General features: G+C 33.2%; 1 long non-coding RNA gene across 3 annotated transcripts in view; it reads right to left on the minus strand.

The window, feature by feature from the left end:
- Positions 1 to 2615: 2615 nt before the first annotated feature.
- The window catches only part of LOC105377409 (uncharacterized), a 33624-nt gene continuing 20619 nt past the window's right edge, over positions 2616 to 15620 (minus strand). For 2 of the 3 annotated variants that reach the window (XR_001741523.1, XR_939181.2), the window contains exons 3-4: positions 9574 to 9696; positions 2616 to 2726 (exon numbers count right to left, since the gene is read on the minus strand). This is a non-coding gene — a long non-coding RNA (uncharacterized LOC105377409). Of the gene's footprint in view, positions 2727 to 7867; positions 7905 to 9573; positions 9697 to 15620 lie in introns of those variants that run through there. The other variant, XR_939180.2, reaches the window with a different exon arrangement.

Genomic DNA, 15620 nt, shown 5'->3' on the forward strand with positions numbered 1-15620 from the left:
TCTCCAATAACAGACAAACAGAGAGCCAAATCATGAGTGAACTCCCACTCACAGTTGCTTCAAAGAGAATAAAATACTTAGGAATGCAACTTACAAGGGATGTGAAAGACCTCTTCCGGGAGAACTACAAACCACTGCTCAATGAAATAAAAGAGGATACAAACAAATGGAAGAACATTCCATGCTCATGGGTAGGAAGAATCAATATCATGAAAATGGCCATACTGCCCAAGGTAATTTATAGTTTCAATGCCATCCCCATCAAGCTACCAATGACTTTCTTCACAGAATTGGAAAAAACTACTTTAAAGTTCATATGGAACCAAAAAAGAGCCCGCATCACCAAGTCAATCTTAAGCCAAAAGAACAAAGCTGGAGGCATCACGCTACCTGACTTCAAACTATACTACAAGTCTACAGTAACCAAAACAGCATGGTACTGGTACCAAAACAGAGATATAGATCAATGGAACAGAACACAGCCCTCAGAAATAATGCCTCATATCTACAACTATCTGATCTTTGACAAACCTGAGAAAAACAAGCAATGGGGAAAGGATTCCCTATTTAATAAATGGTGCTGGGAAACTGGCTAGCCACATGTAGAAAGCTGAAACTGGATCCCTTCCTTACACCCTATACAAAAATTAATTCAAGATGGATTAAAGACTTAAACGTTAGACCTAAAACCATAAAAACCCTAGAAGAAAACCTAGGCATTACCATTCAGGACATAGGCATGGGCAAGGACTTCATGTCTAAAACACCAAAAGCAATGGCAACAAAAGCCAAAATTGACAAATGGGATCTAATTAAACTAAAGAGATTCTGCACAGCAAAAGAAACTACCATCAGAGTGAACAGGCAACCTACAAAATGGGAGAAAATTTTCGCAACCTACTCGTCTGACCAAGGGCTAATATCCAGAATCTACAATGAACTCAAATTTACAAGAAAAAAAAACCATCCCATCAAAAAGTGGGCAAAGGATATGAACAGACACTTCTCAAAAGAAGACATTTATGCAGCCAAAAGACACATGAAAAAATGCTCATCATCACTGGCCATCAGAGAAATGCAAATCAAAACCACAATGAGATACCATCTCACACCAGTTACAATGGCAATCATTAAAAAGTCAGGAAACAACAGGTGCTGGAGAGGATGTGGAGAAATAGCAACACTTTGACACTGTTGGTGGGACTGTAAACTAGTTCAACCATTGTGGAAGTCAGTGTGGCGATTCCTCAGGGATCTAGAACTAGAAATACCATTTGACCCAGCCATCCCATTACTGGGTATATACTGAAAGGACTATATAAATCATGCTGCTATAAAGACACATGCACACATATGTTTATTGCGGCACTATTCACCATAGCAAAGACTTGGAACCAACCCAAATGTCCAACAATGATAGATTAGATTAAGAAAATGTGGCACATATACACCATGGAATCCTATGCAGCCATAAAAAAGGATGAGTTCATGTCCTTTGTAGGGACATGGATGAAACTGGAAATCATCATTCTCAGTAAACTATCACAAGGACAAAAAACCAAACACCGCATGTTCTCACTCATAGATGGGAATTGAACAATGAGAACACATGGACACAGGAAGGGGAACATCACACTCTGGGGACTATTGTGGGGTGGGGGGACAGGGGAGGGATAGCATTAGGAGATATACCTAATGCTAAATGACGAGTTAATGGGTGCAGCACACCAGCATGGCACATGTATACATATGTAACTAACCAGCACATTGTGCACATGTACCCTAAAACTTAAAGTATAGTAATAATAATAATAATAATAAAGAATTAACGATGAGTTTAAGAAAAAAAAATTTATTTCTCAAAATTCTCGAGTCTGTGAAACCCAAGACCAAGGCACCTACAGATTCAGTGTCTGGTGAGGGATCATTTCTTGATTCACAAAGAAAGGCGCTATCACATTTAGCTATAATTCTGTTTTCACTGTTGTCCTCACATGGTGGAAAAAGCAAAGCACATCTTTGCAGTCTCTTTCACAAGGCACTAATCTCATTCCTGAAGGCTCCACCCTTTTCACCTAATCACCTCTCAAGGGTCCTACCTTCTAATACCAACACCTTGGGAATTAGGATTTCGACATATGAATTTTAGGAGGACACAGACTTTCAGACCGCAGCATAACTCCATTATTTTCTACAATAAAACTATTTTTGGGTCCATGGGAAAAAAATGCTCATCAAATAGAAACACTATGAAACTGTAATTTAGTAATTGTTCCAAAAAACATAACGTTCACTTATTTGAAAATATTAGAGGAGACTGTGTCTGGAAATGAATGAATTACCTAGGCTTGTCCGGGTCCTTCACTGAACCTTCAAGAAGTCTGTGCCAGGAATGGTTTCACCCAGCATGTTCAGCTGCCTGATGATACCTAGAGAAGTAAACCAGCTGTGCTACAGCACCTCACACATATGTCACTTTACGATATTCCAGCTGGAATTTACTTCTGGCAGGTTCCCCCTTTTGCTGTTCCCTACTTCCTTCTGGAAGCTTACCCCAATAGTTGGCATTTACTCTGGAGCTGAAATTTCTCTCCAAAGAAAACTTACTTCCTTAACTCTGGGTTTTGTTTAGGTCTGATTCTCCAGTCTGTACACAATGACAACCTTCCCCTCTTCATGTACTCTTGTGAACAGATGGAATCCATTTTCCAGACATTCTCATTGACCTGGAATTCAAAGAACAGAGACCTCTCCTCAAAAAAATAAAATAAAATAAAATAAATGCCCCTGAGCCCTCACCACCTTCCCCATGTTCTCATACTCAGCCACTTGGGCTGATATCTCTGGGATCAGTCCTAATAAACAGAACCTATCCAGAGGCTCAGAATCTGGCCAACAGATGGGGCCTGCTTCTGTCTCAGATAACAACTTAGGGCATTTTCTCTCTTCTGTTCTTTCTATGGCTTTCTCTCTCTGTTTTCAGATCAATGGTAGCTTCTTTTTCTCAGCTTTGTTAGGATAGAATCTATAATCTTCACAGACACAGGGAGAAGCATATAAACATTAATTTAAAAAGAGAGCAATACTGCCTGCCAAAAATCTTGCTCTAACCATTTGGAGAAGGAAAAAGACACACCCCAAGAAATACAAACATAACTGAAGTCTTAAAATGTGTGAGGCCCTGTGCCTGTGGCTGCATGTACATTTAACCAAATGTAATCTCCATACAGGCCGTCAGAGACATTTTAAACAGTCACCATTATATAAAGTTAACTGATCTTGAGATAGTTTACACATTTTTATTTACCAAATGTCATTTATATACAAATATGATGGTGAAGTATAATTTTGACTTCTGTTGCTTTATCACGTCTTTGTGTCATATTGCCATTATAGAAAAACAAATTATCCAGTTATTACAGTTTTCTTCATCTATGAAAACATATTTTAGTTTTCCCAGATATGCATTTAGTAAATATATTACTCATCACTTGTATGCTTCAAGTTATACCTAAGTACCCCATTGATAAAGTACTTGCGTTTTTCAGTTTACTCTAAAACTGTAATATTTGTGGAAAGTGAAATTATATTAATATGTCATTTTCAATAATGATTTTATAATTTACTGAATTTAAAATTTTTGGAAGGCCTTTTTTAAAAATGCAAAGGAATAATGTGTAGGATTGCACAAAAATTCAAGTACTTGAAACTTTTCCAAATCCATATACACTTCAATCATTTTTTGCATAATCTAAAACAGATAATAAGGGCGTATGAAAAATGATGTATAGTTTAGTACCAAAGAGGCAAAAAGACTAAACAAATTATTATGATATAATAGTGAAAATTTAATAGCATTTTATGTGCCATTTACTATTTAAAAATGAAAACTGTTGCAATGCATTACAAAACATAAATGAAGAATGGGAGTGAATGAATAAATAAGTTAATTAATAACCCATTTATCTTGAGTCTTTCAATCTGACAGTCAAGGAAACCCTGAACAATGAGGAAATTGTGTAAGGAGGAACAGTCAAGGGCTTTTTAGAGCTAGAAATGGAAAGGTAGCTTCACGATGGTTAAGCTAATTCAGCATTGGAAATTCACTCTCTGGATAATATGAAATGTATGTATCAGCCAATGTACGGTAGGCTAAAAGTTCTATTTTTCATTGATTAGCAAAGTGTTATCTCAACCAGATCTTGGAAGAGTCAAGCAAACTAGGTCACTAGAAGTTCATGGTCCTTGATCAGCTTCAGATAATTAACTGGTTGTGCTGAAACACTGTATGTAGGCTTAACATCTTTGATGAATATGGCTGCAAGCAGAAAATTTTTTTCATAGTATGTATTCCAATTTTTTAGCATCTTGGGATACTCAAATACTATTAATAAATATAAAAAGCATAAATAATGAAAAATGAATTTCTAAAGTAATATAATAGGAAAAACACCAACAATATATTAATATTATTTTTATTACTGATACCATTGTTAACACATTTGTTATCTAATTATTGTTACTTTACTAACATCCTGAGAATACATAAAAATTTAATCATATTCTGAAAAGTGGTAATGTTAATTTTTTTTAAAGCCTCAACTCCTAAATGCATTAGGGAAATTGTGCAGCTCCTAAGGCATTCTCCTTGAAATAGGATAACATTTAAGAAATTAAATGTGCATAAACCATGGATGGTTATAGAAGATAAAGATGGAGATACCATATCAGAATTACACTCCCGATGTGCTGAATAAACATTTCTAATGTAGGTATGTATATACAGTTTTTCAGTTATCATTTCTTATGATGTTTTTCTTCTTCCTAAACATCCCCTGAGTACTCTCTGTGCAATATTTACTTTTTAAAAAATACACCACTTCTCTACAAGCATTTCCTCCTAAGCCACTAAGACTGTGATTCCCTTATCTGCCAATAGAGGGAGGAATGTAGTTTAGTGATTAATATTTCCAAGTCTTAATTAGCTAAGATTAGTGATTTGCACCTCACAAGTAAGTTAGCATTGCCTCTGTCCACAAATAAAATTCATGTAAAACATACTAATAATACCCACTGATGATATTAATATCTAATCAAAATATAATTATGTTAAAACCAGGGAAATATAGATTTCACCTTTTTCCTAAATCCTAGTTTTTATTAAGCTATACTTTTATTTGGACTATTTCCACCATCAGAAGCTTTTCCCAGTTTCACCCTCTGTGTATAATAAAACGAAGCAAAACAAATCACTCTGGGGGCTATCTGGTTTCCTTAGCTTTGCTAAATTAAAAAAAAAAGTGTGGAGGAGGTCACTATGATGCACAAATAAATCTAGACATCAAATACATTTTCTTTCTAATCTGTGTTTTAAGCAATATCAAAACCTTGTAAAGTTAAGAATTTGCAACTTGGTGGGGGCAGGAGAATGGGTCATTAGCTGTTAATGGAAGATGAAAGTTTTACAAATATTTTATGGTTTAATGTGACTACTTCTATTTACATTATTAAAGTAGATGCCCTTCTAATGTCAGGTCTAATTCTCAGTTTCACACTTATGTAAATATTTATTCACGATCATGAAGAAGTATTGAAAATAAGATTACTTTGGATTTCTCTGTAAAACTGAAAATAAAGAAACAAACTAAGCTAAATCAATAAAAATGTTTGAATAATTCTTAGTACATCTATACTACGGAATAATATGCAGAGGTTAAAGACAAAAAGTACCAATTTTGAAATTTTTTCAGTGTACATTTATTATAATAAAAAAGGAACTGTGGAGTATTACATGCTGTATTCTAAATTATGCCAAATATGTACATAAAGTATGCATTTCTATATGTATATCTGTGTTTGTAAATGCATAAAAATATATTTGGAATTATGTATTTTACTCTGTTTTTAGTGGTTACCTTTAGAATCCTTTATTTGTGTACTTTTGTATTTTTGGTACTATACTAATTTTTCGATATTATGTTGGATATGGTTTGGCTGTATCCTAACCCATCTTGAATTGTAGCTCCCATGATATCCACATGTTGTGGAGGGACCTGGTGGGAGGTAATTGAATCATGGGAGCAGGTCTTTCCCATGCTGTTATCATGACAGTGAATAAGTCTCAAAAGATCTGATGGTTTTATAAAGGGTAGTTCCCTTACACAAGCTCTCTTGCCTGCCACCATGTAAGACGTGACTTTGCTCTACATTTGTCTTCCACCATGATTGTGTGTCCTCTCCAGCCATGTAGAACTCCAAGTCAATTAAACCTCTTTCCTTCGTAAATTACCCGGTCTCAAGTAGGTTTTTATTAGCAGCATGTGAACAGAGTAACACAATATTATTTTTTGACAACAGTGTATTTGTGTATTTCATGGGTTAAGAATGTAATAAAATCCAAATAACAATTGTGTATATACTACATTGTATTTTGTAAATATACACTATATATAATGTACATTTATATACATAATATACACATATTACTTTAGCTACATTCTTAACAATACCAAATGTTAGAAACATCTTAATTATATATAATTAGAAAAACAGTTAATTCTAATAGTATTTCCTGGCACAGTGGAGTATCATGTATCCTTTTACAATGGTAGTTCTCCAACTATTTTAAAAATATTGGTCAAAATATGAAGGCAAAAGAATGAATAGAATCTCTCCTAAAAAGAAAATATATTCCAGTCAATAGAGATAATGATCAGGAAGTTAGAAAACTATAGTAACCTGGTGAAAAACTAACAAATCTTTTCTGTAAACGAGAGAAAGAAAAATGATTAGCAACTTGAATGGATACATAAAGCTATAAAGGAAATTAATTGTTCAAAAATGAAGCAAAATGTTATCTGATAATTATCACTTTAGCAATCAATGAAGTGTAGGAAAGGAGATCAATTTGAACTTAACACTTGAAAATGCTCTTCTAAGTGACAGTATATATGACTTTTTAAAATGAGTTATTTTACATTACTTGCTTCAAGAGTCAATTCTACTTAGGTATATTATGAAAGTTGGTTTTCAATTTTTTTAGAATCAAGCCATTGACAAAACTTGGAATTGAGGTAAATATTACATGACTTTACAATTTAAAAGCTATGGCATCACACAAATAACTCAGGGGCTGAGTAGATATGTGGAGGTAAGAGACATACACTAAATTCCTAATTTCCCATGGCAGAGTCCAAAGGACAGTATCTGATGTATCTGATGTGAATGGATCCAGAATTTGAGGAATAAATGTATTGCTAAAATTTATTCTTACAATTAATAAAAACGATTATTACAAAACTCAGGTTGGAGAAGAAAATTGAGAAAGAGGTAGTGACTGGTAGTTTAAATAAGTCCATTCCTTTATCCTCCTTAGTGGAACACAAATGGATAATATTAACAGTTGCTTTACTGAGAAATTTTTCTGAATTAAAAATATAAAAGAGTTTTCAAAAAAATTTAAAAAAATCATTCTGAAGGAGAAAAACTATAGATCGAAGGGTGTAAAGTAGAAATTATTTAATATTTTATGTTAATTTGCTTAATTTTTAATATACACCAAATACTCTTTATTTAAAAATACTAAAAGAATAATATGCCATTACTGTAACTTAGAATTTTACATTATAGGCCAGGCGTGGTGGCTCACGCCTGTAATCCCAGCACTTCGGGAGGCCAAGGCAGGTGGATCACAAGGTCAAGAGATCGAGACCATCCTGGCCAACATAGTGAAACCTCGTCTCTACTAAAAATACAAAAATTAGCTAGGCATGGTGGTGTGTGCCTGTAGTCCCAGCTACTCAGGAGGCTGAGGCAGGAGAATTACTTGAACCCGGGAGGCAGAGGTGGCAGTGAGCCGAGATCGCGCTGCTGCACTCCAGCCTGGCAACAGAGTGAGATTCCATCTAAAAATAATAATAATCATTTTACATTAAAATAAAAGTTCATTTCAATTATTCTTGGCATTATAGCGATCAGTGCTCTAGTCAACAATTTGAACCATCCCTTCTGAATCTTTGTATAATAGAGTCATTTTTTAAATAAAAGATCATTAAATTTATAGCATGCAACCCAATTATAAAATGAAGTTGAATGTTTTGAAAAACATCTATAAAAGTAAGTTGCCAGAGACAAGTTATATCAAATAGGTATGGGTAAGATAAATATTTGGGATTTGATTAATAAATCATAAACATAGAATTCTCTGTTCAGTTGCTTCACTCTATTTTAAGTAATTATTCCACTTTTTAAATAAAGTAACTCTCTTAAAACAATGCACCACTGCTGTGGTTTACAAAATAAGACAACTAAGATGTTAATTTTAAAAGTAAGTTCAAACAAGGGAAACATATTATATGTGCACATATACATACACATACACCCACAAGCATACATATTTGGCTATATTTCCAAAATAACTCAATTCCTTCTTCAAAAGATTCTGTTATTTGAAAGTTCTTTCTTACACTTAGCCAAAATCTACTATCTTATACTTGCTAACTATGGTTTTCTGTGGTACAATTTGTGTCCAAACTGTTCTCTTTACCATCTGGGTTTCCCATTCTTGAATATGTTCGTGCGTTTCTCTCCCTCTTAATGTGCAACACCCAGAAAAGAATTCAATATTCAAATGTACTCTGACGAACAAAGAGTGGGGCAAGACTATCACCTTTCCCATTCATGTTTATTGCAATCTGAAATCTTTACGTCTTTATTAAATCAACATCTGCTAATATATGTAAAAATTCCTCCTACCTTAAGGAGATTTTGATATTTTTAAAACTAAATTTAGTTTTATCTTGTAGCATTTGTTCTGTTACTCTAGGCTATCAAACATTGTGAGATACATACTCTTCCTTCAGGCCAGCTACAATGTTATTATTAAATACATTAAAAAAATGCCTTAAATGAGTCCAGATATGCCATATGATCTACATTTTATATACTATAACTGTATTACTATACTATAGTATACTATAATATACTACCCATATTGAGGACTGGATCCTGCTACTCATCATTTCTTCTTCAACTTATTAACATATTAATATATTAATATTTACTTCTTAACATATTAATGTTAAGATTAAATAATCATAACAATATGATTAATAGTTCATTCATAAGATAAGCATGAAGAATTTTGTTATGTGGAATGCACTATCTTAACAGTTATGAAAATCTTGGCCTTTACCCTCCTTTCATTTTGAAGTTTCTTCAACATTTAAATAAAACCTTAATAATTCAGGAATAATTCTGGAAAAAACACTATCTTACAATTTCTTCCTCTCAAGTAAAACACATTTTTGAATGGCAAGCATAGTAGTACATGACATGATCATTTTGAGTCCACAACAGAATTATATTTACAGAAAATATATAAATGTAATTTACTTTGTAAAATATTTTACATTGTTATGTAAATACTTATTTCTTCTTATTTAACTTCAAAAGAAAAATATTCTTATTGTATTAGTGGAAAAACTATAATATATTTTCACAGAACTAGAAATCTGCTGTTGGAAACAAAATTATGTTTGGTGTCCTAACATAGAATTGTCTTTGCTCTCTTACCTTCTCTTTGACCAAAGCCACTTGCAAAGAAACATCACCAGGAGAAATAAAATTGTTGTATCTTCTTTATGTTTCCCTACTGTTAAATCATGTTTTCCTTGTATTTCTATTCATATAGGATTACTAGGAAGAGAATGGAGGAACAGCACAATGTCAGGTTCTGTGATTTTGTTTTCAAACAGTAGTAAATTATTTTCTATTTTTCATTTAAAAGTGATAAACTCTTAACTGTTTCCTTCTAGATGATTTCTAGTAGTTTAAATTAAATCATAGTACTTTTAATTATCTATTCATAAGCATACAATGTTTACAAGTTTGCCTCTGATACAACTGCTTTCCAAAGGAAGTTGATTTTTGCCATAGAATTTTCTATTGACTGCTTCATAGAATATACATTTTTTTTTTACTAGAGAACACATTCAATCTCTCTTAATTCTCTTCTCTTCTACACCATTTCCATAGGTCCATGAGAATATTGAGGAATTCACTTGATTTGGATGCCAAATATGCATTTGTTTATGGCATACATATTAGTCACTACAAGTCAATTCTTGGGGCAATTATGAGATATTAAGAAACCATATTTGTAAGTACAAGTGTTCCCCAATAGTCCCCTGCCCCATACACAATTTCATAGCTCCAGTTTTTCCCTGAGTGTCTATGCACATTAAAACCTTGTATAATCCCCAAAATGCTCACTGTCCAAACCTTACCCTCTTCTTGTCATCTTCCTACCAAAGTAGAATGCAGAGTCTATATTGTTAACATTTTAATCAATTCTCAGGCACATTTGCAGAAACATCATCTCTGTTTTGTTATTCATTTCTTTTGTCATCAGTTTTCCAGTATATTTTCCAGTGCTATTGCTAACTGTTGGCTCCCCGAGAAAAACAAAACAACAAAAACAAAAACAAAAAACTGTTGCTAAAGCAAAACTGTATTAGGCTTGCTGAAGTAAAGGAGAATACCACCTTAATGGAATCTTTATATCTCAAAATGGGAAATTAAGGCAGAGTATTTATGAGAGTTAAGGTTTTAGGACCATGTGTGGGAAATTTTTTAAGTAGGCCTAGTTAGGCAGGAAATCAATTGGGATTGAACAGAATTTATAAAATAGCTTCAAATGGGGGAGGGGTAAGAGTAAAGCAAAGATCTTGAAGTGAGTTTTGATAAGAAGGCTCAGAGTCTTAAAAATCGGCTGTTCAGTTAGTTCATTATCCCACTTTTCAGTAACAGTATTTTTTCATGGATGTTTCCGCATTTATTCATTTCTGATGGAAGCAAAAAAATTATTCACTCACTGCCAGCTTTGTTAAAAAATCTAGGATGATAAAACGATGTCTAGTCCCAGTATTGCTTAAGCTAGTTTAGCTTCAGTTCTTAATATGTAAAATTCCAGAGCCATTTTAATGTATATTCCTTTTTCTTTGTTTTATTTTCTGTACATATACTCAATAAATGCTGACCCTACAAATGCTATTGTATTGCTTACAGCTTAATAGCCACAGTCTAGAGTTGTGTCTGCTATAAAATATGTGTTCACTTCAATATTCTGTTGAATAAATGAATCAATCACAAATACTTGGAAGTTATTGAAGAGATTTACTAGTTGAACAGTGAAAGGAAAAAAGCATCAAATTAAAAAATGTGCTATAAATAATTTAAGACTTTTTTTGAAAGACTAATTCTTATTTTTCAGATCTCTGGTCAACATGATAAGGTTATTCATTTCTTAAGTCAGCTGAGAAAAGTACCCTAGCTCTTTGTACAACAAAGAAATGACCTAAAACACACAGACTGGGAGTGGAGGACATTCACAAATGATTTCCCTGAGGAATTGAAATACTTGAGTTGAAACTGGAACTGTAAGTGGTTACCTAGGCAATGGGGGAATGCATTGTTGGCGAAAGGACAACATACACAAAGTTTATGCTGTAGGTTCAACTATAGCTTGTTTGACAAATCAAAGAAACTTGTTCTTAGAGCTAGGAATCAAGGAGGTGTAGTATAAGATGATGCTAAGGAAGTGGGTAGAAGCCAGGCCATGCAAGGTCTTGTAGGCCATTGCTATGGTTTGAATACAATTTGTCCCCCGCAAAACTCATATTAAAATATGATTCCCAATGTGGCAGTATTGAGAAGTGGGGCTTAGTGGGAGGTGTTTGGGTTATGGGAACAGATTACACATCAATAGATTAATGCCGTCCCTCAGGGGTCAGTGAGTTCTCCTTCTCATATGGAATAAATTGGTTTATGTGAAAGCAGGTTACAAAAAGAGAGTCTGGTTCCCTTGGTTTCTCTCTTTTGCTTCCTATTTCACCATGTGATCTCTGCACAAGACTTTCACCTTTCCACTTTCTGCCATGAGTTGAACTAGCATGGGGCCCTCGCTAGATGCAGCTGCCCAGTCTTGAACTTTCAAGCCACAAGATTAATAAGCCATATAAATCTCTTTTGTTTATAAATTGCCCAGCCTCAGGTGTTCTGTTATAGCAACACAAAACTAAGACAGCCACATTAAATAAATGTTGGCCTTTATTCTGAAAACATTGTAAAGCCATTGATATGTTTTGAGCAAAGAAGTGATAATCAGATTTGAGTTTTGAGAAACTTACTCTGTCTACTCTATAGCTCTGTAGAGACTATAATTGGCAGGTGTAACCATTAATGAAGCAAAACCACTTAGAAGTTATTGTGGTAATCAAGGTGATGGCAATGAATTTGGGCAGTGACGACAGGAATGGAAAGTAGAAGAAAAACTTGAAAATATTTAAGAGGTAAATTAAGTAGAATTTCCCATCATTATGGGCTATGAGGGAAAGAAGACATTCGAAATTTGTGGAACTACATGAATGGTGGTATCATTCCATGAGAATAAGTATACTAGGTCAGTATTGGGTTTTGAGTGATTATCCCAAGTTTAGTCTTGTGCATTTTGTATTTAGAGAGATTTTTGAAACATGAAAGTGGAAATGACAAAGAAGTAATTGTTTATATATAGTTGGAGTTTGCATTAAAGTCTAGCCAGGGGATATATATATATTTGTCAGTAATTACTTTATATAACAAACTATAAATGTGGGCAAAATCAACTGGATAAAAATAAATAATAAAATGAGTCTTATAAAACCACAAATATTAATGGCCAGAGAAGTTTGAGCCAACAAAAGAGGAATAAAAAAAGGCCCATAAATGTAGAGATAAAAGCAGGAAAACATTATGCCCTGAAACCCAGTGAGAAAAAAACATATGTCAAACATAGAGTAGTCCCTATTAGAAAAGTTTGCTAACAGTCAAGTACTGTGACAATTGAAAATGCCATTACATTTAGAAATATGGAAGTCACTGACGACCCTACTTCTCTTTTAATAAACCAATCTTAAATTGTTTGATGCTTTACTTTTTCACTGAAAAAGTATAATGAAATCTGGAGTCTGAAAATAAGTTATCTCTAAATTAACATCTAATAAAGATACCATAATCTAGAAAATGACAGAAGATGATATAAACCACGGGGCTATTACTAGAGGCAGATATTGGTGGCAAATATGTGTCAATATTTATAGTCTTGAACTTTGGGCTGTTAAATGTGAACTTCAAATAAGTAATTTTAGTACTCTCTTAATATGTTATTAATATATTTTCCAGCTTTGAATAAAATGGCTTAAAATAATAAATAGGCTATATTTCCTATTCTTGGAGTTACATTAAAAGCAAAAGATTTGGAACGTTAACATTTATATCAGGACATGCAGTGGAACTCAGTGAATTAGACCGTGAAGCAGGTCCCCTTGTGAAAAGGTGACTTTTGAGATTTAAGATAAAACATAGAAGGGAGAAAGGAATAAAATCTGGCCTCTAGCTCTGTCCTCTTCTGTAAAGTTTATCTCTAAAGAAAAACATATATTGTAATCACCGGAATTCTAGATAAATGTAACAGCTCTGAGAGTTGTTTGGTTTTGTTTTTCGGTTCGTTTGCCATTCTGTTTTATTTGACTTTAAGCCAGCCCCTGCATTTAGTATGTAATGTACCCTGCAGCCTCACCACTCCTCTGAAATTATCGCTATGTCAGGACATGAAAGGTATTCTCATATGTTATTCAACAAACCTAATCCTAAAGAAGAAAAACTATTTACTCTAAGATTTTGAAATTTATCTAAATCTAAACAATTTAAGAGTCTCTTTGATAAGAAGTTACTTTTATGATTTTTCTAGCTTACAAATTATGTGGTATAAATTATAATAACATGACATGAGATTAATAATGAATATGAGATCGTGTCTTACTTAAACTTATTTGCTTCGCCATAGTAACTTACAACATGGAAAATGTAGTAAAGATAGCTAATATTAACTATTTGGGAATTATTTGGAACATGTTGACCTTTAATTGTTATGGATAGTTATTTTTAATAGAAAGGAGATTATTTTTAAATAAGCATATGTTTTGGGAGGTGAGTTAACAAAATGGCATAACCATTACATAAACAAGATGTTCATTATATTCTTAGGTCACGCTATTAGTTCTTGAAACGTGGAAGTTCAAGAAATTTTTCTGGTTGGTGTGGGGGTACCTTGACATTAGAATCCAATCGTTTATTTCTGTTAAAAGACCATTTTCTTTACTCGGCTTCACCATTAATAGGATCTTTAGCTTGCATTATTTAAAAATATTTTCTAAAAGAGAGATTCACTTTTACAAGTCATTTATACCACATACTTTTCCATTTTTTTTAGTTTCTACCAAAATTATCTCTTTTGAAAATTGGATTTGTTTACATAGAGAAAATATTCTACATATTACAGGCAACAGCAAAATGTAAAAAAATGTTTCATAAAGAAATTTTAAAATTTGGTACCAAGCAAAATGTTGGCAATAAAATTAAAATGATGAGCCAGGAGTAAACCGCAAATTATACATTTTAAATTTATCTTGCTGAATAAACCCAGGTCTGCTTTGAGAATTTTTCTAAGTTTTGTCTCTGTATTGATATTTAAAACTTCATTGTGCTTAATTACATATTTTTCTATTGATGTCTTTCATTACACTGATCTTTTCTTCTTCTATGTCTAATCTGCTGTTAATCTCGAGTGAATTTTCCACAGTATGCATTAAGTAGATCAGCTCTATAATTTTCAGTTTCTATCTTCTATTTCATTTCTTATTGTGTTTATGTTCCCCTTTAAATGCCTCAGCATACTTGCAACATTTACAGTAGATGTTTAAAAGCCTTTGTTTGCTGGAGAAAAGGAACAGTTTATATTAGACAGGAGGAATTACCATGTGGCCACTACAGTTAGTAATAACGTGCTATGCACTTAAAAATTGCTGAGAGTAAGATTTTAAGTATTCTTACCACACACAAAAAAAGAAAGTATGTGAGTTGGTGGATATGTTATTTAACTTGATATAATCATTCCACAATGTATACATCATATTTGATGTATACATCAAAACATCATGTTGTAGCTTATAAATATATATGATAAAAGTTAATAATACTTCACAAGTCAAAAAATGGCCTTTGCTACTACCATTATCTCTGTCACTTCTGGGTTTTCTTTTCTAATTTTTCTAGTTACATGTCATATCTACTGTTTTGTCCCCTGATTTGGTGTTAAGCATTGTGATGGCTATGCTGTTGTTTGTTTAATTTTGTTTTCTTCTGTAAGACTGCTGAAGATTGGCCTGGGAAGAAGCTAACTTGCTTGTGGATAATTTTAAACATTTAATAGCCTGTTTATAGACTCTGTTTTGATGGGTCTAATATAGCCTTTATCTTAGCCTAGTTTAAGCTTAATACAAGGCATGGCCTTTCTTGATGCTTGGAGTATTCCTCATGGTTTCTCTATTCAGACTGAATGGGATTTGAATGGTTTATTCTGATAAACTGGGTAATTTATTACCCTTTAACTTCATGGTTTTTTTAATTTGCTTGGCTTCATGAATCGTAATCATATTGCATGTGAAAATTAATATTCAACTAAAGACTCAAGGGCACCTCATGCATTTTCCTGGAGATAGTCTTACCAAACTCCTATCTCT

This window comes from Homo sapiens, chromosome 4, assembly GCF_000001405.40.
Source record: "Homo sapiens chromosome 4, GRCh38.p14 Primary Assembly".
In the NCBI taxonomy this organism is placed as follows: domain Eukaryota; kingdom Metazoa; phylum Chordata; class Mammalia; order Primates; family Hominidae; genus Homo; species Homo sapiens.